This window comes from Homo sapiens, chromosome 11, assembly GCF_000001405.40.
Source record: "Homo sapiens chromosome 11, GRCh38.p14 Primary Assembly".
NCBI classification, from domain to species: Eukaryota; Metazoa; Chordata; class Mammalia; order Primates; family Hominidae; genus Homo; species Homo sapiens.
Genome location: NC_000011.10, coordinates 65491221 through 65509259, shown reverse-complemented (window position 1 = coordinate 65509259; position 18039 = coordinate 65491221). Strand labels below are relative to the sequence as shown.

The following is an 18039-nucleotide window of genomic DNA, read 5'->3' as shown; positions in this document are numbered from 1 at the left end:
CTGGGAGGTGGAGGTTGCAGTGAGCCGAGATTGCCCCACTGCACTCCAGCCTGGGCGACAGAGCGAGACTCCGTCTCAAAAAAAAAAAAAAAAAAGAAAAGAAAAGAAAAAAGAAAAAAAAAAGAAAAAACTGAGGTCCCTGTGTACAACTGGAGGAGTACATATGGGGAATGCCTAGGGCTTGTTTATATTATTAAGAGCAGTCGGCCGGGCGCGGTGGCTCATCCTTGTAATCCCAGCACTTCGGGAGGCCGAGGCGGGAGGATCACGACGTCAAGAGATCGAGACCATCCTGGCCAACATGGTGAAACCCCGCGTCTACTAAATATACAAAAATTAGCTGGGCGTGGTGGCGCGCCTGTAGTTCCAGCTAGTCGGAAGGTTGAGGCAGGAGAATCGCTTGAACTCAGGAGGCGGAGGTTGCAGTGAGCCGAGATCACACTACTGCACTCCAGCCTGGCGACAGAGGGAGACTCTGTTTCCAAAAAAAAAAAAAAAAGCGCAGTCCCCTTGACTTGGACAGGAGCTTTTGGGGAATTTATGCTCTCCATTTTGTGCTCAGAGGGTGGAAATGACTTCCGGCCTACTTTTCTGCCTCCTCCTGTTGCTGTGATCAGTGTCTGATCTTTACATTTTTCAATCCTGGAGAACTTCCTCAACTCCAGGAACTACGTAGCCCCTGGCGAATGCCCAGCTCCTACTCTTTTTTTTTTTTTTTTTTTTTTTAAGACGGAGTCTCGCTCTGTCGCCCAGGCTGGAGTGCAGTGGCCCGATCTCACCTCACGGCAAGCTCCGCCTCCCAGGTTCACGCCATTCTCCTGCCTCAGCCTCACGAGTAGCTAGGACTACAGGCGCCCTCCACCACGCCCAGCAAATTGTGTGTGTGTGTGTGTGTGTGTGTGTGTGTGTGTGTGTGTGTGTAGTAGAGACGGGGTTTCACCGTGTTAGCCAGGATGGTTTCAATCTCCTGACTTCGTGATCCGCCCGCCTCGGCCTCCCAAAGTGCTGGGATTACAGGCTTGAGCCACCGTGCCCAGCCTTTCTTCTTCTTTTTTTTTTTTTTTTGAGACAGTTTCGCTCTTGTTGCCCAGGCTGGAGTGCAGTGGCGCAATCTCAGCTCACTGCAACCTCCGCCTCCCGGGTCCAAGCGATTCTCCTACCTCAGCCTCTCGAATAGCTGGGGTTACAGACATACGCCACCACGCCCGGCTAATTTTGTATTTTTAGTAGAGATGGGGTTTCTCCATGTTGGTCAGGCTGGTCTCGAACTCCTGACCTCAGGTGATCTGCCCACCTCGGCCTCCCAAAGTCCTGGGATTATAGGCGTGAGCCACTGTGCGTGGCCCCCAATTCCTACTCGTACTCCTTTGCTCTCCAGTAAAGTATTTGTGCTTCCACAGAACCTTCTGCTTTGGAAAAACAGAGACCTTTCTCCATACGAAACTGACTGGGCATCAATTCAGAAGACACTTAAGCAACTTAGGAGAGCACCTAGCTCAGCTTCTTTCATAACCAGCGAGACAGATACCCCATCCCCCATTAGATCACTTCAAGGGAAGAGAAAGCTCCTGTGGCCAAGGCCTATACAGGCTGGGTAGGTTGGGGGTTGGTGTGCTGCTGACCTGCCGGGCCATTGCTTCATCTATCAGAACATTCTAGACATTGAAGAAACAGCAACATAGGGGTTGAAGTGTTGACTGACTAGGATTCAAACCTCAGCTCTGCTGCGTTGTCAAAAGGGGCCCAATCAGAGTCTACCTCTCCATTTGCAAAATGTAATACCATTAAAAAAAAAAAAAAAGGTAGTTCTGCTTCTGAGGCCCCTCCATTAGGCTAAGGGTGTGGCCAGTCACAGGTTCCCCAGGCTGGAAGATTCTTCAGACGTGGGTCCCTCTCTCTGGTAGGTCTGGGTTTACTAGAATGCATCTCAAACTCCAATAAGCAAGGTCTGACTTTTCAGGGAGATCTTAAGGGTAAGGAGGGCCAGGGAGGGTATTTCACCTGAGATCCCAGCCAGTCCTTCCAACAGCCAGATGCTGCTACTAATCCCACAGCACGTTCAAAGGGACAAAAGGGGACCAGTGACAACTGATTAAAGGAAAATGTGATCCTGAGTGACCCAGGACCTTGGGACTCTGAGGGGGAACCAAAGAGCTTAACTGGTTTAAAAACTTAAAAGGATCGGCCAGGCTTGGTGGCTCACACCTGTAATCCCAGCACTTTCAGAGGCCCAGGCGGGTGGATCACACGAGGTCAGGAGTTTGAGACCAGCCTGGCCAATATGGTAAAACCACGTCTCTAACTGAAAATACAAAAATTAGCCAGGCGTGGTGGTGTGCACCTGTAGTCCCAGCTACAGGGAGGGTGAAGCAGGACAACCACTTGGACCCCAGAAGTGGAGGTTGCAGTTTGCAGAGATCATGCCACTACACTCCAGCCTGGGGGACAAAGTGAGACTGTCTCAAAAAAACAAAAAAGAGAGCTTTCCAATGACACACACACCCCGCCCCATTTCTCCCCCAGCCCAGCTCACAGCCAATTACTAAATAGTGGAAAGGAGGCTACTTAAAAAGAAGTTCCCTATTTTCCTGTGGGGGTTACTGGGCTTTTTAGTAGGCCACTCACCCACTACCCTCGCACCAATCCCCCAAAGTCCGTACCCTACTTGAAGATTATGCTGTAATTATGGGTGCTGTGTTTATAGACCACAGATTTAACAGAACAAGCCCACAGAACACCCATCTTTTTTCCCCAATCAAGATTTTTTTATTCACAAAAGAACCACAACAATTTAGAGCTTCTCCATTTTTATTACACAAAATTGTTAAGTTTTCAGCAGTAGGGCTTCTCAAAACACCAGCTGCAGGCTATTACCTGAAAAAGACAAGGCAGTTATATTAGGTTCTCGTGTAAATATGAATATACAATCAAGTCAAGCTCCTGACAAATTATACATCAAGGATGTATATAGTTCAAAGATATTGTGCTGTTACCTCCCACCTCCCCAAAACTCCAAGAACTAGCACCTGCAGAGAAAAGGAGAAATACAGAAAGAGTCCTGAAGACAGATTAGTAGTCAAAGCAAAGACGCCGCAGGGATTTGAACCCCGTCCTGGAAACCAGGAGTGCCAACCACCAGCATCTTTTGCTTTTTTTTTTTTTAAGCTAGAAAAAGGCCAAAAAGCAAAACCTGAGAAAACAATACGTGTTGTTTTCTCAGGAAAAGAAAAACCTTCATGACCCTACTGAAGAGCATTGGAGATCAGCTTCCGCTAAGATGCTAGCTTGGCCAAGTCTGTTATGTTCACCTGAAAAAGTCTTAGCAGAGAATTTTTGCATTCCCACCCAAAAGCCCTCTCAGCCACTCAAATGCCTATCTTCTCCAGTCTACAAGTTACATGTTCCCACCCAGCATTACAGTTCTTGAACATGTTATTTCTCCACTTACTGGTTTAAGTTGGTTTTAGTCACTGGATAAGTATTATAATAGAGCTACTTAGCTGTGGTTTTAATACCCTTCTGTTAACAATTTGCAGGCAAATTAATGGCCTTTTCTAACATAGTTCAACCCACCAAAGACCTCGACACCATCGTTACCTTGAAACCGATTATGGATCATGCCCACAAGGATCCAAGCTACTGGCTGCATCGAGGTGAGGGGTGAAGGGTCTGTGCTAGATCAAAAGGCACGGGGTGGCGATGTGGCAGAGAAGTTGCTTGTGGGGAGACCTTGCTTTTAACAGGCTTCTGGAAAAGCTAGGGAAAAGTGGTTGCCCGCTTTCCCCCTTTCCCTCCCCTTCAAGCACCGCTTGAGATTTGGGCTTTATTATTAAGAGCTGCTATAAAAACAGCTTGCTTAAATGTTAAGAGAAGCCCAGGGGTACTTCAAGCATTCCTTCGGATGCTTCACTCCAGAAAGAGGGAGTTGAGGCAAGTCCTCATTACTAATAAAAATCAGGTGAGGCTGACACTTCTCTTGACCTTAGGATAATAGCGCTTTGTTGTCTCTCCTGCCACAGGAAGGCTCCATGGTTGTCCTACTTTAAGCCTTCGGTGCCTTTAGTGAGGGGTACCTGAAAAATCTTAAAAAAAGGCTTAGCGCCCACCTCACCCCTCCACCCCCACGCCAACACAGTTTGCTCACATGCCAGTTACTCCAGCATAAAGCTGAAATCTATTCAATACTATTGTCCCATAACTGATCTGACTTTGTATGTAAATACAGAAAAAGCTTGTTCACCTGTTTTCCTCATTTTGTCCACTGGTGAATTCAACTGGAAGCTCCTTCTATAGTCTGAAGAATACCATCTGAAAGAACTAGTGGTTCCCAATCCCCACATTTAAAATGGAATGTTTGGTTTATTTAAAGTAAATAGGCTATTTTTTCTTACTGGGTCTGGCTTCTCTGGCCCTTCGCATACGTGTGTCTGCTGAGTGTTCCTGCATGTAAGAATTAAGACCAAGGGAGGGGAGAGAGAAACCCACACATAAACAATGCACTAAAGATCACTGAACTGTTTAAACATTTCCACTTGCCAGTTTAATTTCTTGAAGACTGTTGCTTGTTTGGAATGTTTCTTGTCACTGATTTTAAGGTTGCATCTGGAAAAGACTAAAGGCTTCAGTCCCCTCCCACCACCAGAAATGAACAAAAAGCATTTTACCTAAAAATACACCAGCAAAATGTACTCAGCTTCAATCACAAATACGACTGCTTAAAACTGCAGAAATTTCCTCAACACTCAGCCTTTATCACTCAGCTGGATTTTTTCCTTCAACAATCACTACTCCAAGCATTGGGGAACACAACTTTTAATCATACTCCAGTCGTTTCACAATGCATTCTAATAGCAGCGGGATCAGAACAGTACTGCATTTACTTGCCAACAGAACAGACAGACCTGAAGTCAAGACAACTGCATTCTCTGTGAAGTCTGTAAAAAAAAAAAAAGCTACAACAAGTAAGCCCCACCCCCTCCTCCCATCCCTCCAAATTCCAGGAAAAAAATTTTGAGTATGCTGATAAACTCACTGCAAGGTCTCATACACTCACTAGAACAGAAGGAAGAGCCAAGCACTCATATGCAATTCAAAATCCTGAATGGCTTCATGAAGGATGAAATGCCTCTGCAAAGGAAAATTCTTTAAAACCCCACAGGCACCCCCTCCCTTCCCTATATAAGGTCAATAGTGTAAAACATTGCCTACCACTCTAAGATTGTAAGCATTTAAAGTTAACATGCAAACTTTGGAAATGTGAAAAAGTATTACTCTAATCACTGTCAATTTATAGACCCCTGACTTTCTGGAAATAAAATGTGTAATTACCTTTTACTCTGATCATAATCTCCCACCTGTCTAAGAGGTTATTTATTCCTTATTTAGAGGGCCTCTATTGCCATGTGCCTGGAATTATTATATGCTCATCACTTTATGAAGAATAAAATTTGTCTTTCCTGCCTTAAAGTTACATTCGTTCTTCCGCTCAAATCCTGATCTGGTCCATTAAAGAGTGTTCGCAGACAAAGTTTCTGAAAGATTAGAGAAGAATCCCCCCCAAGATTGCCCCAACACTGAACTACAGACAAACACTATTTTATTTAAATAAGGAGACAGCTTTCTAAAAGTATACATTCTCTAATAAAAATAGTTTATTATTTTGAATGATTTAATGGTTTTCTACACAATTTACATCACAACATGTAAATTTTAGCAGTAACATCTGATTCTAACAGCACATCATGCTATTCCTTTCATAGAGCCTTCAGAGATTCAATGCTAAACAAATTTCCTTAGTTGGCATCAAGGCACTGATCACTTTAGAGGCTTTTAAGAAATTATTTAAAGATGCAAATGCCTCTGAGTGAAGTGTACTATCCCATCACTGAAGCCCACAGGAACAAGTCCTACAATTTTAAAAAGGCTCGATGGAAAAATTTCTCAATCCTGAAATCCCCTAGGGAAGGGGTCAGGAGAAAGTGCCATGGTTGATATTTAAGAACTCCACAGCTCTTAAAAATAAGCACTTATCCCTAACATGCAATACTGCAGATGCAAGTTAAACTTATCTGTTAACAGCTGCCTGCTGTTTTCTGCTCCCAGATGAAATGAAGCAACTCTTCTGATAACGAAGAGATACCTGTCTGAGGCAAACGAAACATTGGCACACAGCACAGCCTCCTCAATCCACTTGATCCCAACTCATCTCTCATTTATTTCGGCTTCTTTTATTCCAGGATTAATGTAGTGTAACATTTTCATTTCTTTTCGCTTTTATTCTGCTTTTGTAAAAGCAGTATTTTGAGATGGACATTGCCTCTTCATTGTATTTCTCATCAATTCATTATTTTTGTGGTTATAGCTTGACAAGCAATTAACTTTAAAATGGTAGATTCCGTAACTTTAAATTGGTAGCTTTCATTTGCTTAAAATTTTTTGGCATATGCAGATAATGTTCTCATCAGTAGTAAGAATCTCAGGGTTATGCTTATTCCCCAATGGAGGTATGACATATAATCTTTTCTGCCTTTACTTATCAATTCACCAAGGAGCTGTTTTCTCTGCATCTAGGCCATCATACTGCCAGGCTGGTTATGACTCAGAAGATGTTATCTGAAAAAAGTCTATAGAAAAAAAAAAAGTTTCCCCTCCCTCATCAACAAAAGCCCACCCTCTAAGAGACATTCAAGCTGAACTATCACAATTCTTAATCAGTTACAATTTACAAACAGATAAGTTTAAAATAAACAATTTACAAAATTTTTGAAGCATACCTTAACATCTTGTTTTGCAGTTAAACAATGGAAAAGTATTTCTCCTACACTAAAAAAAAACTTGCTTACACACAACTGAAAATAGAATCTTACTTGATAATACAAAAGCTACCATCAGAAGAAATCCCTTCAGGATCATTAAGCCACTTCCTTTGCTCTGCAGTTTCTATAGTAGTTTTAAATTATTATTAAATCACCTGAAAAAAATTCCAAAAGAGAACCACACACTACCATATCCAAACAACTTTTGCATTTCCCATAATTGTAGTTAATGTCAGCCCAGTAGGCCAGACCAACCCCCAGTTCAATACTTTCCTTCCCCAAAAGCTCTATACTTTGAAGGAAAACAGATACAGTATCAAATTATGACACTTTCCTTGCCCAAATTAATGCACTGGTACACCCAGTGGCTCATATTTAACTTCCCCCAGCTTCCCAATTCAAACTGGGGGGAAAAAAACTAAATCATTGGGAGTTACTTGCCAACTTGGAAGTTGATATTTCTTTACTTTTTCCATTCTAAGACTTTAAGTTCTCTGGCATGAGTTTATCTGCAATCATAAACTAAACAATTACCTAAACCCACCCCACCAATCCCAACCGTAACAGGCCACTGCCAACTAATTGCCAATATTTGCCCCTCCCCTTTAATAAAACTTTTAAGAAGTCACATTATTGGAAAACTTAACTTCAACATTTGGCCTACTCAAGCTCTTCTGAAGTTCTCCTGAGATGACTGAATATGAACCAAAGCTGCACTGTGCTGTACTTTTCAGCTTCAACTGGGAATACTCTTCCAAGGATAAAAGCAGCTCCAGTCCCTGAAGGTGTTCGTGCCAACAGCACAGCGGTACACTCCTTCTCTAACCCAGTTTGTCAATAGTACTATAGCATCTGTGGAAAATCTTAGAAAAAAACATTTTCTCCCCCACCCTCTCTCTTCCCTGTTAAGACCATCCCAAAATGCTTCAAGTAAAAAATAACAAGTTTAAGGGGTTAAGCACTTTTAAAGTCTGATTAAGGGGGTGGGGGGAAAAAAGAGTAACTACCAGCCATTTCTCCAATGGACATCTCTTCCACAGACCTCAACGTGAGAACTGCTCTAGTTTCTATAAACTGTAAACCTGTGGTGGTCTGATTATCCTGATATTGGATTTTCTTGTTTTCTGTTACACCTTGAGTCATTTGCCTTTAGGATTCTAGACAGACCTAAGGGAAAAAGAACTGAAAACATATTTTGCCCCCACCCCCACAAAAAAAAATACTGAAAACTCCCCCCCGCCTCAGTTACACATCCAAACTCTACATTTACAAAACGAATTCAGGGTGAGGAAGTAAAAACAGGTCATCTATTCACAAAACTGAAATACTTCATTACCCCAACTAAACATACAAACTGCTTACAGATTTGCTGAAATTGTCTCAATTTGGCTATCAAATTCATTTGGTTTTCCTCAAATTCGTGTAAAAAAAAAAAACCCACAAACTTGCCATCTACTATTTCTCCAGGACTTGGCAGTCTGCCCTCAAAAGCTTCAGACAAGATTCATGAGTATAAGCCTGAAAAAGAGAAACCTACAACACCCGGAAATCGGCCTACGTCCCCATATAAATCCCTTTACACCTCAGTACGAAACTCCCCCATTATATTAGAAAATAAATAAAAGGTTACCATAAGTAAGTTCCAGAAAAACAACATATTGCCGACCTCACGGATTTTTACCAACCACTCGCTTTCCCTGTGGCCTTGGCACACTGGCATGCTGGTCTAGGATCCTCTACGCACAACGCCTGCTCGCCTCCTCCGTGTGGTTGCCAAGCCAAGCCGCCTGCTACCTTCATCACCAAATTGCACTCGCTCCTTCCTGGAATCCTTTTTCCTAGCTTCACCACCAAATCGTTAGCGCTCCTTCCTTCTTCCTAGCTTCCTTCACCAAATCGCACTGGCTCCTGGACTCTTTTCCTATCTTCACCACGAACTGCTGCTTGCTCGCTTGCTCCTCAGTCCTAGCTTCATCAAACACTGGTTCCTGGAATCCTGTCTGCTGCTGTCTTCCTAGATTCACTGAATCCACTTCTGTGTAGCACCTGGGTCAGCTGTCAATTAATGCTAGTCCTCAGGATTTAAAAAATAATCTTAACTCAAAGTCCAATGCAAAAACATTAAGTTGGTAATTACTCTTGATCTTGAATTACTTCCGTTACGAAAGTCCTTCACATTTTTCAAACTAAGCTACTATATTTAAGGCCTTCCAAATTCTTCTAACTCTTCCAAAAGCCTTCTGCCTTAGTTTTTTTTAAATTACACCAGTCCTTTTAGTAGCTTTTTGATGTGATTTTTAACCAACTTCCCCTTCTAGCTTCAAGTATTCTTCTAAATTGGTTCTGGTCTACGTAAACACCCTCATCTTCTCAAGCTTTACCTTCTAACTTCTGCACCACCAGAAATTAAATTGATGGGCTTTTAAAATAAATTGGTTACCAATAATTTCCTCATTTTTTCAGTGCTATTTTATCCAATTTTTGGCTTTATATTTTTCTATCTTCTATACTTCTCCAATACTTGTCTTAGCTTGTTTTTCATTTTCTATCTGAAACTCTTGACAATATTTTCATTTTCTATCTTGTTTCTATCTTCCAATTTTCTTCTAAGTTTGTACATTTTGCCCTTAGCTTTTTGTTTCCTAGCTTGTCTTTTTTCTTCTGCTTCCTACTTTTCAGGTTTAAATTTATCTTTTTTCTTCTAAAAGTATGTTTTTATCTTCTAATTTCCCTATCTTCTCTATTCTTTTCTTCGCCTTCCCGTACTTCTGTCTTCCAGTTTTCCACTTCAAACTTCTATCTTCTCCAAATTGTTTCATCCTACCACTCCCAATTAATCTTTCCATTTTCGTCTGCGTTTAGTAAATGCGTTAACTAGGCTTTAAATGACGCAATTCTCCCTGCGTCATGGATTTCAAGGTCTTTTAATCACCTTCGGTTTAATCTCTTTTTAAAAGATCGCCTTCAAATTATTTTAATCACCTACAACTTTTAAACTAAACTTTAAGCTGTTTAAGTCACCTTCATTTTAATCTAAAAGCATTGCCCTTCTATTGGTATTAATTCGGGGCTCTGTAGTCCTTTCTCTCAATTTTCTTTTAAATACATTTTTTACTCCATGAAGAAGCTTCATCTCAACCTCCGTCATGTTTTAGAAACCTTTTATCTTTTCCTTCCTCATGCTACTCTTCTAAGTCTTCATATTTTCTCTTAAAATCTTAAGCTATTAAAATTACGTTAAAAACTTAACGCTAAGCAATATCTTAGTAACCTATTGACTATATTTTTTAAGTAGTTGTATTAATCTCTATCTTTCAAAGAGAAAAAAACTTATCTGCGGTTTCCTCAAGCTCCGCCTGCCCCCTCAGCAGAAGCCCCTGCGCTGGCTGCCTCAATGCCTACCGCACAGCTCGGGCGAGGCGTATTTATAGACGGAGAACAACTCGCATCACCGGAATTCGATCACCTTCCGCCGCCTTTGTGAGGGAGGCAAAAAGTAGTTCTTCGGTTAAAAATAGGTTCTAGTTTTACTTTTCTAGATTTTTCTTAACAGCTTATGGAACTTGAATGCAAACTACACATGCAGAAATACTTAAATTACTAGCGTGTGGAAAGATTTGAGCTGCAAACTTTAGACAAAAGAAACATGGAAATCATATTTTAAACGGGTCATCAAACACCTCACAAAACCCCCGGAACTTTTAAAATACCTCTTAAAGCACTTCTTGTGTTCTCTTGAGGGACAGTAGGTATAGTTTACCACCTTTTGAAGGAAGATTAAAGTGTGATAGTTCAGGGCTTTACTTTCCATTACGCAACTGAGCCCCAGCCTTGCAGGGACGGTTGAGAAGTGGCAAAATGGCGGACTTTCTCCCCCAACTGCTTGCAGTCCTGCGACTTGCTCCCAAGACAGCCACACGTTTTGCTTTTTTGTTCGAGAAATCGGAGCAGCACGGGCTGTCTGCTTGGGAAATCTTAGAAACGTGAAAACCCACTCTTGGAAAACGCCTCAATCCCACACCACAGAGCTGCTCCCCGCCTGAGCCCCGGGGGCCGTTGGCTGCCAGTGGCCCACTCTGATCTGCGGCCCCCCAGTTGCCGCCAGCCCCCCACGGCCCGCACGGAAATTTTTCTACCGTTTTTCAGCTTCCAGGCTCTCCTGAAAGTGCTCACAAGGCAAATCGCCATGGAAAGCGAGTTCAAGTGGCCTTTTAAAGTAGACCAACTAAGCGAATGGCTTTGTCTCCGAAGACACAGAGACCTTGGGCAGCCAGTCAGGGACACACCCAGAAGTGTTTACACTGCTCTGGGTCTGCTTTTTTAGGGGTTTTTGTTTTGCAGATTCTGTGTTATGCCTGGTTAGGTATGAGCTTCAGACCTTCTGAACCGGAGCAGGAAGAAAAATAAAAGCTTTCCTCCAAACCCCAAGACCAAACTGCAGAGTTTGAGTGGTTTTATCTAAATACCACCACCTGGAATGGCCAGCCTATAAGGACAGCTAAGATAGCAGCACAACTCGTCGCTGCGTCCCAAGGACTCTGGGAAACCTGGGCTCCCGGAGGCGTCAGAGGGGACCTGCCTTCAGGCGAGCTGAGGCTTCCCGGCGCCGGGCTTCTGCGTTGCTAAAATGGCGCTGCGCTTAAGAGGGCAGGAGAGGCCAGTTGCGGGGCCCCAGTCCTTTACAGAAGTCTCGGGCTGCAGGCTGCGGAGGGGAGAGCGGGGGCGGGGAGGGACTGCGCAACCGGTGGGGCTGCGTCAGGGACAAACGCCGGGGGAGGGGCGGCTCGCGAGCGCCGCGCAGGGATACGCGAGGGCCGTGAGCCGCCCTCCCTTTGTGAGGCGCTGGCTCGTGGGCGGGCGCCACTGGTTCTAACCGGCTCTAGCCGGTCCTGGCCGCCTTCCCGGAGCTGTGGCGGTTGGCGCAGCGCGTGACTGCGCACGCGCGCCCCGCCCTAACGCCTGTGCCTGTTCTGGGGAATGGCATGGGGGCGGGGTGGCAGCTGGCCTGGGAACTTCTCGGTCGCTACTCTGCGCTGTCACTGCACTTGGGGGCTGGTCTTTCTTTCGTGGAGCTGCTGCCCAACTTCCATTTTCAGTCTAGGTCTTCCTTTCCCACCTCTCTCCTGTCCTTTGTCATTTCCTCCATATAGTCTCGACGTCATCCATTAATTTAAAATCAGAACACAAACCTCGTGTAGCTATCAAGGGCCATGGCATTATTGTAAAATATCTTCGTCGTTTGTATGTCACCAGGTCTTACTAGTCTAGAATTCTCGGGGCAGAAGTGGTCTCAGGCTGACCTTGCAGCAGCCTAATTTTTTAGAAAAGAAACTGAAGCAATGACCTAAAATGGAGAGTTCCAGGGCACACAAAGCTTGGAGCTGGACGGGGTGGTGACACCCACCCTCTCCGCTCCCTCACCCCCGGGTCTTTGGAACCTGTATCCATGGCTTGTTTTTAGGCAGTCAACTCCGAGGGGAGAGATTAGTGACGCTGTATAGGTTAGGATGGCAAAACTAACACAATGATACAGCAACTCTATGAAGTTGATTTCTAAAACTCCTTTGGCTCCTGTAAATGATGCAGGTTGTGTACGGTGTTGGGGAGCTGCCCTGGGGGCTCCAGGAAATGAGGGTCCTGTTTTCTGGGCCAACTCCCTGTCCCCACCTGCCCACATAAAGCAGGGCCTGTTGAAGCAGCTGTTCTCAATTGACGCTGGTGAAACTGTTCTTGTTTTCTTTTCTTTTCTTTTTTATTTTTAAGCCTGTAAGAGTGGAATATTACTGAGATGCAGCCGGATCCCTTCAGGCACAGTCCTGATGCTTGCTCTGGGGTTGGAAATTTTTTAGTAGAATTTTATCGCTGGATGAAGGAAAACTGAGGCAGGTCACCTCGTTTCGCAAATGGGGATTTGGGGGCCTGGAGATTTTGTGATTTGCCTGAAATGACACACAGCTAATTAATAGCAGAAGCTGTTCTTGAATCCCAGATTTTCCACGTCCTGCTGCCTCCCTTCCTCTCCAGCACTTCTGTCAGTCTCTCCAACTGCGGTTTTTCTATATCTGGGGGAGGACCTAGGACCTGCTCTGTACTCTCTGCTCTCTCCTTCACTCTAGAGCGAGTGAGATGAACGTTAAGAGCCCTAAAATGCTTTAAATTATTGTCAGTGTCACTGCATTAATTTCCATTACCTTGACAGATTACAGAATGTTTCTTTTTTTTTTTTTTTGAGACGAAGTCTCACTCTATCGCTGAGGCTGGAGTGCAGTGGCGGGATCTCGGCTCACCGTAACCTCCGCCTCCCTGGTTCAAGCAATTCACTTGCCTCAGCCTCCCGAGTAGCTGGTACTACAGGCGCCCGCCACCACGCCCGACTAATTTTTTGTAGTTTTAGCAGAGACAGGGTTTCACCGTGTTAACCAGGATGGTCTGGATCTCCTGACCTCGTGATCCGCCCGCCTCGGCCTCCCAAAGTGCTGGGATTACAGGCTTGAGCCACTGTGCCCAGCCGCCAGAATGTTGTACAGTCATCCCTTGGTATCCATGGGGCCTTGGTTCTAAAACCTCTCCTCGGATGCTAAAATCTGAAGATGCTCAAGTTCCTTATGTAACCTACAGATATCCTCCCATATCCCTTAAATCATCTCTAGTTTGCTTATAATACCTAATACAACGTAAATAATTTTTATATTGTATTAATGAGGGAGTAATAACAAGAAACGAAGTCTGTATATGTTCAATACAGATTCAATTTTTAAAAATTTTTCTTTTTTTTTTTTTTTTTTTTGAGATGGAGTTTCACTCTTGTAGCCCAGGCTGGAGTGCAATGGCGCGATCTCGGCTCACTGCAAGCTCCACCTCCCAGGTTCAAGCGATTCTCCTCCCTCAGCCTGCCGAGTAGCTGGGATTACAGGTACGCACCACCACGCCCGGCTAATTTTTTTTGTATTTTTAGTAGAGACAGGGTTTCACCATGTTGGTCAGGCTGGTCTCGAACTCCTGACCTCAGATGATCTGCCTCCCTTGGCCTCCCAAAGTGCTGGGATTACAGGTGTGACCCACCATGCCCGGCCTTTAAAAATATTTTTGATTCACAGTTGTTTGAATCCACAAATGTGAAAACCCATAAAGGGGCCAAGGCGGTTGGATCACATGAGGTCAGGAGTTCCAGACCAGCCTGTCCAACTTGGTAACACCCCGTCTCTACTAAAAATGCAAAAATCAGCCAGGTGTGGTGGCGTGCGCCTGTAATCCCAGCTACTCAGGAGGCTAAGGCACAAGAATCACTTGAACCCGGGAGGCAGCGGTTGTGGTGAGCCGAGATCGTGTCACTGCACTCCAGCCTGGGCGACAGAGCAAGACAACGTCTTTAAAAAAAAAAAAAAAAAAAAAAACTCTAAAAAATGAAATAATAAAAAAAGACAGCCTAAAATTGCCATGTACTTTAGTGAGGAGATTAATAATATATTTGATTATGTGGCCTTCTCAGCACTCTTGGAACTAAGGATCTTTTTAACATAACACTGAATTTTTTCAAGCACCTTTTCTCTGGACTGCGTCTGTGCTCCTTTTAATTTCATAATGTCTGATGGAAGCTGCCCCCTCCACTAGTCCTTTAATATCATGTTTGTTCCCTTTCACTTTAGTCTCAAACCTAGACTTCATTTGGGCCTAAGGACACAAATATAAGAGGGCAAATTTGTTTTAGCCAGTCATCTCATGCTCCCCTCAAAAAAGCCCAGGCTAAAAATAGAATGCCCTTGGTTCTGGTTTCTGGCAATTACTCCACTGACAAACAGCCCTGTGACCTCAGGCACCAACCCAAATAACTTCCCAGTAGCAACTGAGATATGTAAAATGAGAGGATTCCATGCAAGAAGCCATGATGCTGATTCTATAAAATACAGTAAACAAAGGGTTGGGGAGAGGACATGAAAGACTTTAGGCTGGAGCCGGGCGTGGTGGCTCATGCCTGTAATCCCAACACTTTGGGAGGCTGAGGCAGGCGGATCACCAGGTCAAGAGATCGAGACCACCCTGGCCAACATGGTGAAACCCCATCTCTACTAAAAATACAAAAATTAGCTGGGGTGTGGTGGAGGGCACCTGTAGTCCCAGCTACTCGGGAGACTGAGGCAAGAGAATCGCTTGAACCCGAGAGGCAGAGGTTGCAGTGAGCTGAGATGGTGCCACTGCACTCCAGCCTGGCAACAGAGCAAGACTGTCTGAAAAAAAAAGAAAAAGGAAAGATCTTAGGCCTCCTGGCTGTACCTTCGAGAAGGCGGGGTGCTGAAAAGGACTAAAAGGGCAAAAATTTTGCATCCAGCCTCCAAGCATACAGTCAGCAAGGCCCTACCTTAATCCTCCTGACTCAGGCCAGGCCGGAAACCTCCAGAGAATGCCAGAATCCACTCCACCCCTTCCCTGATTGGCAAGTCCAGTCAGGCTTAGTCAAGAGACAAGCTTCTGAGAGATCCGTCATCTACGGCCCTGGAGCCCAGAGGCCGCAGTGGCTGAGTCTTCATGGCACCTGGATTCCTCCCAGGCCTCCTTTGATTTTATCTAATCCTGTAATTTTTTCTTTAATTCTGCATTTCTAGAGCTCTCTAGAAATGCAGGTCAGAAATGAAGGGCAAAGACAGTCCCAAGAAAACAACTTTCTTGGTTTTTGTTTTTTTTTTTTTCCTTGAGACAGTTTTTTGCTCTTGTCACCCAGGCTAGAGTGCAGTGACGGGATCTCAGCTTACTGTAACCTCTGCCTTCCGGGTTCAGGTGATTCTCCTGCTTCAGCCTCCCAAGTAGCTGGGATTGCAAGTGCCTGCCACCATGCCCGGCTAGTTTTCATATTTTTAGTAGAGACAGGGTTTTACCATGTTGGCTAGGCTGGTCTGAAACTCCTGACCTTAAGTGATCCGCCTGTCTCTGCCTCCAAAAGTGCTGGGATTACAGGCATGAACCACCACACCCAGCCCAAACTTTCTTGTTTTCTAAAGATTTTAGGAATTTGCAGTTCCCAATCCCATCCCCTGGCTGCCCACCTTCCCAGAGCCGATTTCTGGAACAATGTGACCTTCCGTAGCTGCTGCACAAACTTAGGCTCCCTCACCTACTGTGACCGCCCCCACAGCAGGAAAAAACCTACAGAGATGATGCAGCTCAGAGCTCTATGATATGGAAGACAGAGCATTGTTTTCTAGGGGGTTTTGGACAGCTAATAATTTACCCTGTAGAACATGTAAAATTATCCCTTGAAACCCAGCAGACAGGCCTGTCACTTCACAGAGAGCTGAGGGCAATTCCAGCAAGAATGAGTTACAGAAACTAGAAGTGGCTGTGTCATTGACCTTCCCAAAATGATATGCGGAAGAGGCAGCTGGGGCCTCTTCCATCACAGCCCTGAATCACCAGGGCAGGAGGGTAGGGGAAACAGATTCTCTCTTCCTGAGACAAGAAAACATCTTCTAAATGTACCCACCTCTACTTCTAGCAAGCATTCCTTGTTAGATAGAATCCTCTTTCGGGGAGGGGAATAAAGGAGAAAGTGTCTTTTTTGTTGTTGTTGTTCTTTCTTAGGAGAAAGTGTCTTAAGAAAGCAATTCCCCACCCCCTGCCTGAGAGTTCCAGGCTCCTAGTTCCTTCCTTGGTCTATTTGCTGCGTAATGTACTTGGCCCTGGGCCCTGAAGCCTATTGGTGGATCCTCCCGAAAGGCCTGGCTGTGGCAGCCCAGCTGTAGCACTGTGGGCTGTAGGAGGACAGATTGACATCGAGGGGCACAACTGGGCTGTCCCCCATGCCTTCCTGGGGGCTGCGTCTGTAGAACCGTCTATCCACTCCATGTGCATCTTTATTTTCTGTAACGTGTATTGAGTGCTGTGCCTCACAACAGCCCTGTGGGGGAGGTGGTGTTGCTTTCCCCTTAGACGGATGAGGAAACTGAGGCAAAGAGCTGTCATTTGCCAGATCACTAGAGCCTGGCACACAGTAGAAGCTCCATGTGTGTCTACTGAGTAATGACTCAATGAATACATTGGAATAGTATCTTTTTTGGAATTTATAACACACACACACACACACACACACACAACCAGAATACTGAAAAGCTCCCACAGGAACAGATCATTCCACAGGAACAGATCATTCCACAGGAACAGAACGGATTTAGACTTGACGTAAATTCGAATGCCCATCAGGATGGAGTGGAATGGGACTGAGCTAGCTGTACTGCGTGGGAAACTGGGAACTGCTTTGCTCTGGAGGTCTGTTCAGAACTTCTGAACCAACTGCCATCCACAGAGACAGGGGAGAAAACCCAGAGGCCACCTGTGGTTTCCATGCAGCTCTGATGGAGCATTCACCCCTCTACCTCCTACCCGCCCCCTGCCCAGTGCAGGGTAGTGAGCCCGGCTCAGCCCTTGCTGTCCTTGCCCCATGATGAGTCACCGCGGGAGACGCCTGCTGAGTGAACCTTCCCAAGTGGCCTGAAGGAACAATGAAGCTCTCAGGGAGTCGCAGCCGCGTTCTTGTGTCCCTGATCTTTTCAGTCATGCTTCAGGTCCCTGGCAGATGTTTGTATTGGCCTGGCACACCCAGCATGAAGCTGATTAAACATCCTCCATGAGCATGCTCACACACACACACACACACACACACGTATATTCATTCTTCCTCATGCAAGTGTGGCCCACATCCCACAGACACACATCTCCTGGGACAAGGGGGTAGCGGCCACAAGGTTTCAGGCACTTTGTCGGGGTGTGTTTCTCAACAATGCCGGATTAAAACAGAAGCCCGCAGAATGACAGGGCCTTCTCCTGAACTGGTAATAGTGGATCAGAGCCACCCAGTGTTTGAGTGGAATAAACCTCTAGGTAGCAAGTTCCCATTCCCACAGGTATCCTCTGGAAGCTGGGTGACCTTCCTAGGGTTCCGCAGTATCCCTGCATTGCGAAGAAGCTGGTCAAGAAAACTTGAGATTTTTCTTCCAATCCTGAAAATCCATAATTCTAAGTAGCCCCTCATGCTACAATTGAAGAATCTAAGACTCAGAAAAGTTACATTCCCACAGCACTTTTTAGAGATGCAGGCAGATGGCCTCTGGGGCCCGGACATCTCCCTGAGTTAGCTGTAGGGACACTCACGCCCTGGCTGCCCATCCTGTGGGCTTTCTCCTGGAAGCTTATCCAAGGGGTCAGGCTGCATTCGGTCTAGCCATGAGGGGAACAG

At 45.1% G+C, this 18039-nt stretch overlaps 1 long non-coding RNA gene and 2 other non-coding genes across 5 annotated transcripts, besides 25 other annotated features; 1 reads left to right on the top strand and 2 right to left on the bottom strand.

Annotated features, from left to right (window-relative positions):
- Window positions 1185-1866: an enhancer, noted in NCBI's record as "NANOG-H3K4me1 hESC enhancer chr11:65274865-65275546 (GRCh37/hg19 assembly coordinates)". NCBI's record gives its function as "activates a minimal SCP1, AML or CMV promoter by ChIP-STARR-seq in naive H9 embryonic stem cells {active_cell/tissue: H9 hESC(naive)}" and the evidence as "EXISTENCE:reporter gene assay evidence [ECO:0000049][PMID:30033119]".
- Window positions 1185-1888: a biological region, named in NCBI's record as "NANOG-H3K4me1 hESC enhancer GRCh37_chr11:65274865-65275546".
- Window positions 1399-1468: an enhancer, noted in NCBI's record as "active region_4986". NCBI's record gives its function as "activates an Ori minimal core promoter by ATAC-STARR-seq in GM12878 lymphoblastoid cells {active_cell/tissue: GM12878}" and the evidence as "EXISTENCE:reporter gene assay evidence [ECO:0000049][PMID:35858748]".
- Window positions 1579-1888: an enhancer, noted in NCBI's record as "active region_4985". NCBI's record gives its function as "activates an Ori minimal core promoter by ATAC-STARR-seq in GM12878 lymphoblastoid cells {active_cell/tissue: GM12878}" and the evidence as "EXISTENCE:reporter gene assay evidence [ECO:0000049][PMID:35858748]".
- TALAM1 (TALAM1 transcript, MALAT1 antisense RNA) lies at window positions 1828-9948 on the top strand. The gene has a single exon (NR_145459.1).
- Window positions 2389-2488: an enhancer, noted in NCBI's record as "active region_4984". NCBI's record gives its function as "activates an Ori minimal core promoter by ATAC-STARR-seq in GM12878 lymphoblastoid cells {active_cell/tissue: GM12878}" and the evidence as "EXISTENCE:reporter gene assay evidence [ECO:0000049][PMID:35858748]".
- Window positions 2744-11522, bottom strand: MALAT1 (metastasis associated lung adenocarcinoma transcript 1). Of its 3 annotated transcripts, NR_144568.1 has the most exons (3): window positions 10526-11522; window positions 6867-10291; window positions 2744-6623 (listed from the first exon to the last, which is right to left on the bottom strand). It is a non-coding gene; the product is annotated as a metastasis associated lung adenocarcinoma transcript 1 (long non-coding RNA). The 3 variants fall into 3 exon arrangements; NR_144567.1 differs by having other exon boundaries at window positions 2744-10291; NR_002819.5 differs by lacking the exon at window positions 10526-11522 and having other exon boundaries at window positions 2744-10215.
- Window positions 3086-3143, bottom strand: MASCRNA (MALAT1-associated small cytoplasmic RNA). The gene has a single exon (NR_144569.1).
- Window positions 8692-8821: an enhancer, noted in NCBI's record as "active region_4983". NCBI's record gives its function as "activates an Ori minimal core promoter by ATAC-STARR-seq in GM12878 lymphoblastoid cells {active_cell/tissue: GM12878}" and the evidence as "EXISTENCE:reporter gene assay evidence [ECO:0000049][PMID:35858748]".
- Window positions 10325-10404: an enhancer, noted in NCBI's record as "active region_4982". NCBI's record gives its function as "activates an Ori minimal core promoter by ATAC-STARR-seq in GM12878 lymphoblastoid cells {active_cell/tissue: GM12878}" and the evidence as "EXISTENCE:reporter gene assay evidence [ECO:0000049][PMID:35858748]".
- Window positions 10455-10524: an enhancer, noted in NCBI's record as "active region_4981". NCBI's record gives its function as "activates an Ori minimal core promoter by ATAC-STARR-seq in GM12878 lymphoblastoid cells {active_cell/tissue: GM12878}" and the evidence as "EXISTENCE:reporter gene assay evidence [ECO:0000049][PMID:35858748]".
- Window positions 11024-12223: an enhancer, noted in NCBI's record as "MED14-independent group 3 enhancer chr11:65264508-65265707 (GRCh37/hg19 assembly coordinates)". NCBI's record gives its function as "activates an origin of replication core promoter dependent on BRD2, BRD4, P300/CBP and CDK7 cofactors, and independent of MED14, by STARR-seq in HCT116 cells {active_cell/tissue: HCT116}" and the evidence as "EXISTENCE:reporter gene assay evidence [ECO:0000049][PMID:35650434]".
- Window positions 11085-11154: an enhancer, noted in NCBI's record as "active region_4980". NCBI's record gives its function as "activates an Ori minimal core promoter by ATAC-STARR-seq in GM12878 lymphoblastoid cells {active_cell/tissue: GM12878}" and the evidence as "EXISTENCE:reporter gene assay evidence [ECO:0000049][PMID:35858748]".
- Window positions 11215-11454: an enhancer, noted in NCBI's record as "active region_4979". NCBI's record gives its function as "activates an Ori minimal core promoter by ATAC-STARR-seq in GM12878 lymphoblastoid cells {active_cell/tissue: GM12878}" and the evidence as "EXISTENCE:reporter gene assay evidence [ECO:0000049][PMID:35858748]".
- Window positions 11495-11554: a silencer, noted in NCBI's record as "silent region_3528". NCBI's record gives its function as "represses an Ori minimal core promoter by ATAC-STARR-seq in GM12878 lymphoblastoid cells {active_cell/tissue: GM12878}" and the evidence as "EXISTENCE:reporter gene assay evidence [ECO:0000049][PMID:35858748]".
- Window positions 11615-12054: an enhancer, noted in NCBI's record as "active region_4978". NCBI's record gives its function as "activates an Ori minimal core promoter by ATAC-STARR-seq in GM12878 lymphoblastoid cells {active_cell/tissue: GM12878}" and the evidence as "EXISTENCE:reporter gene assay evidence [ECO:0000049][PMID:35858748]".
- Window positions 11684-11828: an enhancer, noted in NCBI's record as "145 bp enhancer 21/22 fragment used in the MPRA reporter construct; PK_construct_4807". NCBI's record gives its function as "activates an SV40 promoter by MPRA in HepG2 and K562 cells {active_cell/tissue: HepG2 | K562}" and the evidence as "EXISTENCE:reporter gene assay evidence [ECO:0000049][PMID:23512712]".
- Window positions 11748-11763: a transcriptional cis regulatory region, noted in NCBI's record as "ZFP161 motif; enhancer activity is reduced when this motif is scrambled". NCBI's record gives its function as "necessary for full MPRA enhancer 21/22 activity {active_cell/tissue: HepG2 | K562}" and the evidence as "EXISTENCE:site-directed mutagenesis evidence [ECO:0005528][PMID:23512712]".
- Window positions 14478-14657: an enhancer, noted in NCBI's record as "active region_4977". NCBI's record gives its function as "activates an Ori minimal core promoter by ATAC-STARR-seq in GM12878 lymphoblastoid cells {active_cell/tissue: GM12878}" and the evidence as "EXISTENCE:reporter gene assay evidence [ECO:0000049][PMID:35858748]".
- Window positions 15108-15402: a silencer, noted in NCBI's record as "tiled region #14387; K562 Repressive DNase unmatched - State 5:Enh". NCBI's record gives its function as "represses a minimal TATA promoter and a strong SV40 promoter by Sharpr-MPRA in K562 cells {active_cell/tissue: K562}" and the evidence as "EXISTENCE:reporter gene assay evidence [ECO:0000049][PMID:27701403]".
- Window positions 15108-15402: an enhancer, noted in NCBI's record as "tiled region #14387; HepG2 Activating non-DNase unmatched - State 1:Tss". NCBI's record gives its function as "activates a minimal TATA promoter and a strong SV40 promoter by Sharpr-MPRA in HepG2 cells {active_cell/tissue: HepG2}" and the evidence as "EXISTENCE:reporter gene assay evidence [ECO:0000049][PMID:27701403]".
- Window positions 15108-15780: a biological region, named in NCBI's record as "Sharpr-MPRA regulatory region 14387". NCBI's record gives its function as "regulatory_interactions: ATG2A".
- Window positions 15127-15369: a transcriptional cis regulatory region, noted in NCBI's record as "candidate enhancer chr11.3251 targeted for multiplex CRISPR interference". NCBI's record gives its function as "positively regulates ATG2A gene expression in K562 cells {active_cell/tissue: K562}" and the evidence as "EXISTENCE:mutant phenotype evidence [ECO:0000015][PMID:30612741]".
- Window positions 15269-15780: an enhancer, noted in NCBI's record as "H3K27ac hESC enhancer chr11:65260951-65261462 (GRCh37/hg19 assembly coordinates)". NCBI's record gives its function as "activates a minimal SCP1, AML or CMV promoter by ChIP-STARR-seq in naive and primed H9 embryonic stem cells {active_cell/tissue: H9 hESC(naive and primed)}" and the evidence as "EXISTENCE:reporter gene assay evidence [ECO:0000049][PMID:30033119]".
- Window positions 15648-15777: an enhancer, noted in NCBI's record as "active region_4976". NCBI's record gives its function as "activates an Ori minimal core promoter by ATAC-STARR-seq in GM12878 lymphoblastoid cells {active_cell/tissue: GM12878}" and the evidence as "EXISTENCE:reporter gene assay evidence [ECO:0000049][PMID:35858748]".
- Window positions 15781-16291: an enhancer, noted in NCBI's record as "H3K27ac-H3K4me1 hESC enhancer chr11:65260440-65260950 (GRCh37/hg19 assembly coordinates)". NCBI's record gives its function as "activates a minimal SCP1, AML or CMV promoter by ChIP-STARR-seq in primed H9 embryonic stem cells {active_cell/tissue: H9 hESC(primed)}" and the evidence as "EXISTENCE:reporter gene assay evidence [ECO:0000049][PMID:30033119]".
- Window positions 17097-17598: a silencer, noted in NCBI's record as "fragment chr11:65259133-65259634 (GRCh37/hg19 assembly coordinates)". NCBI's record gives its function as "represses an EF-1alpha promoter that drives an FKBP-Casp9 reporter gene in an ReSE screen in HepG2 liver carcinoma cells {active_cell/tissue: HepG2}" and the evidence as "EXISTENCE:reporter gene assay evidence [ECO:0000049][PMID:32094911]".
- Window positions 17128-17422: an enhancer, noted in NCBI's record as "tiled region #8578; K562 Activating DNase unmatched - State 5:Enh". NCBI's record gives its function as "activates a minimal TATA promoter and a strong SV40 promoter by Sharpr-MPRA in K562 cells {active_cell/tissue: K562}" and the evidence as "EXISTENCE:reporter gene assay evidence [ECO:0000049][PMID:27701403]".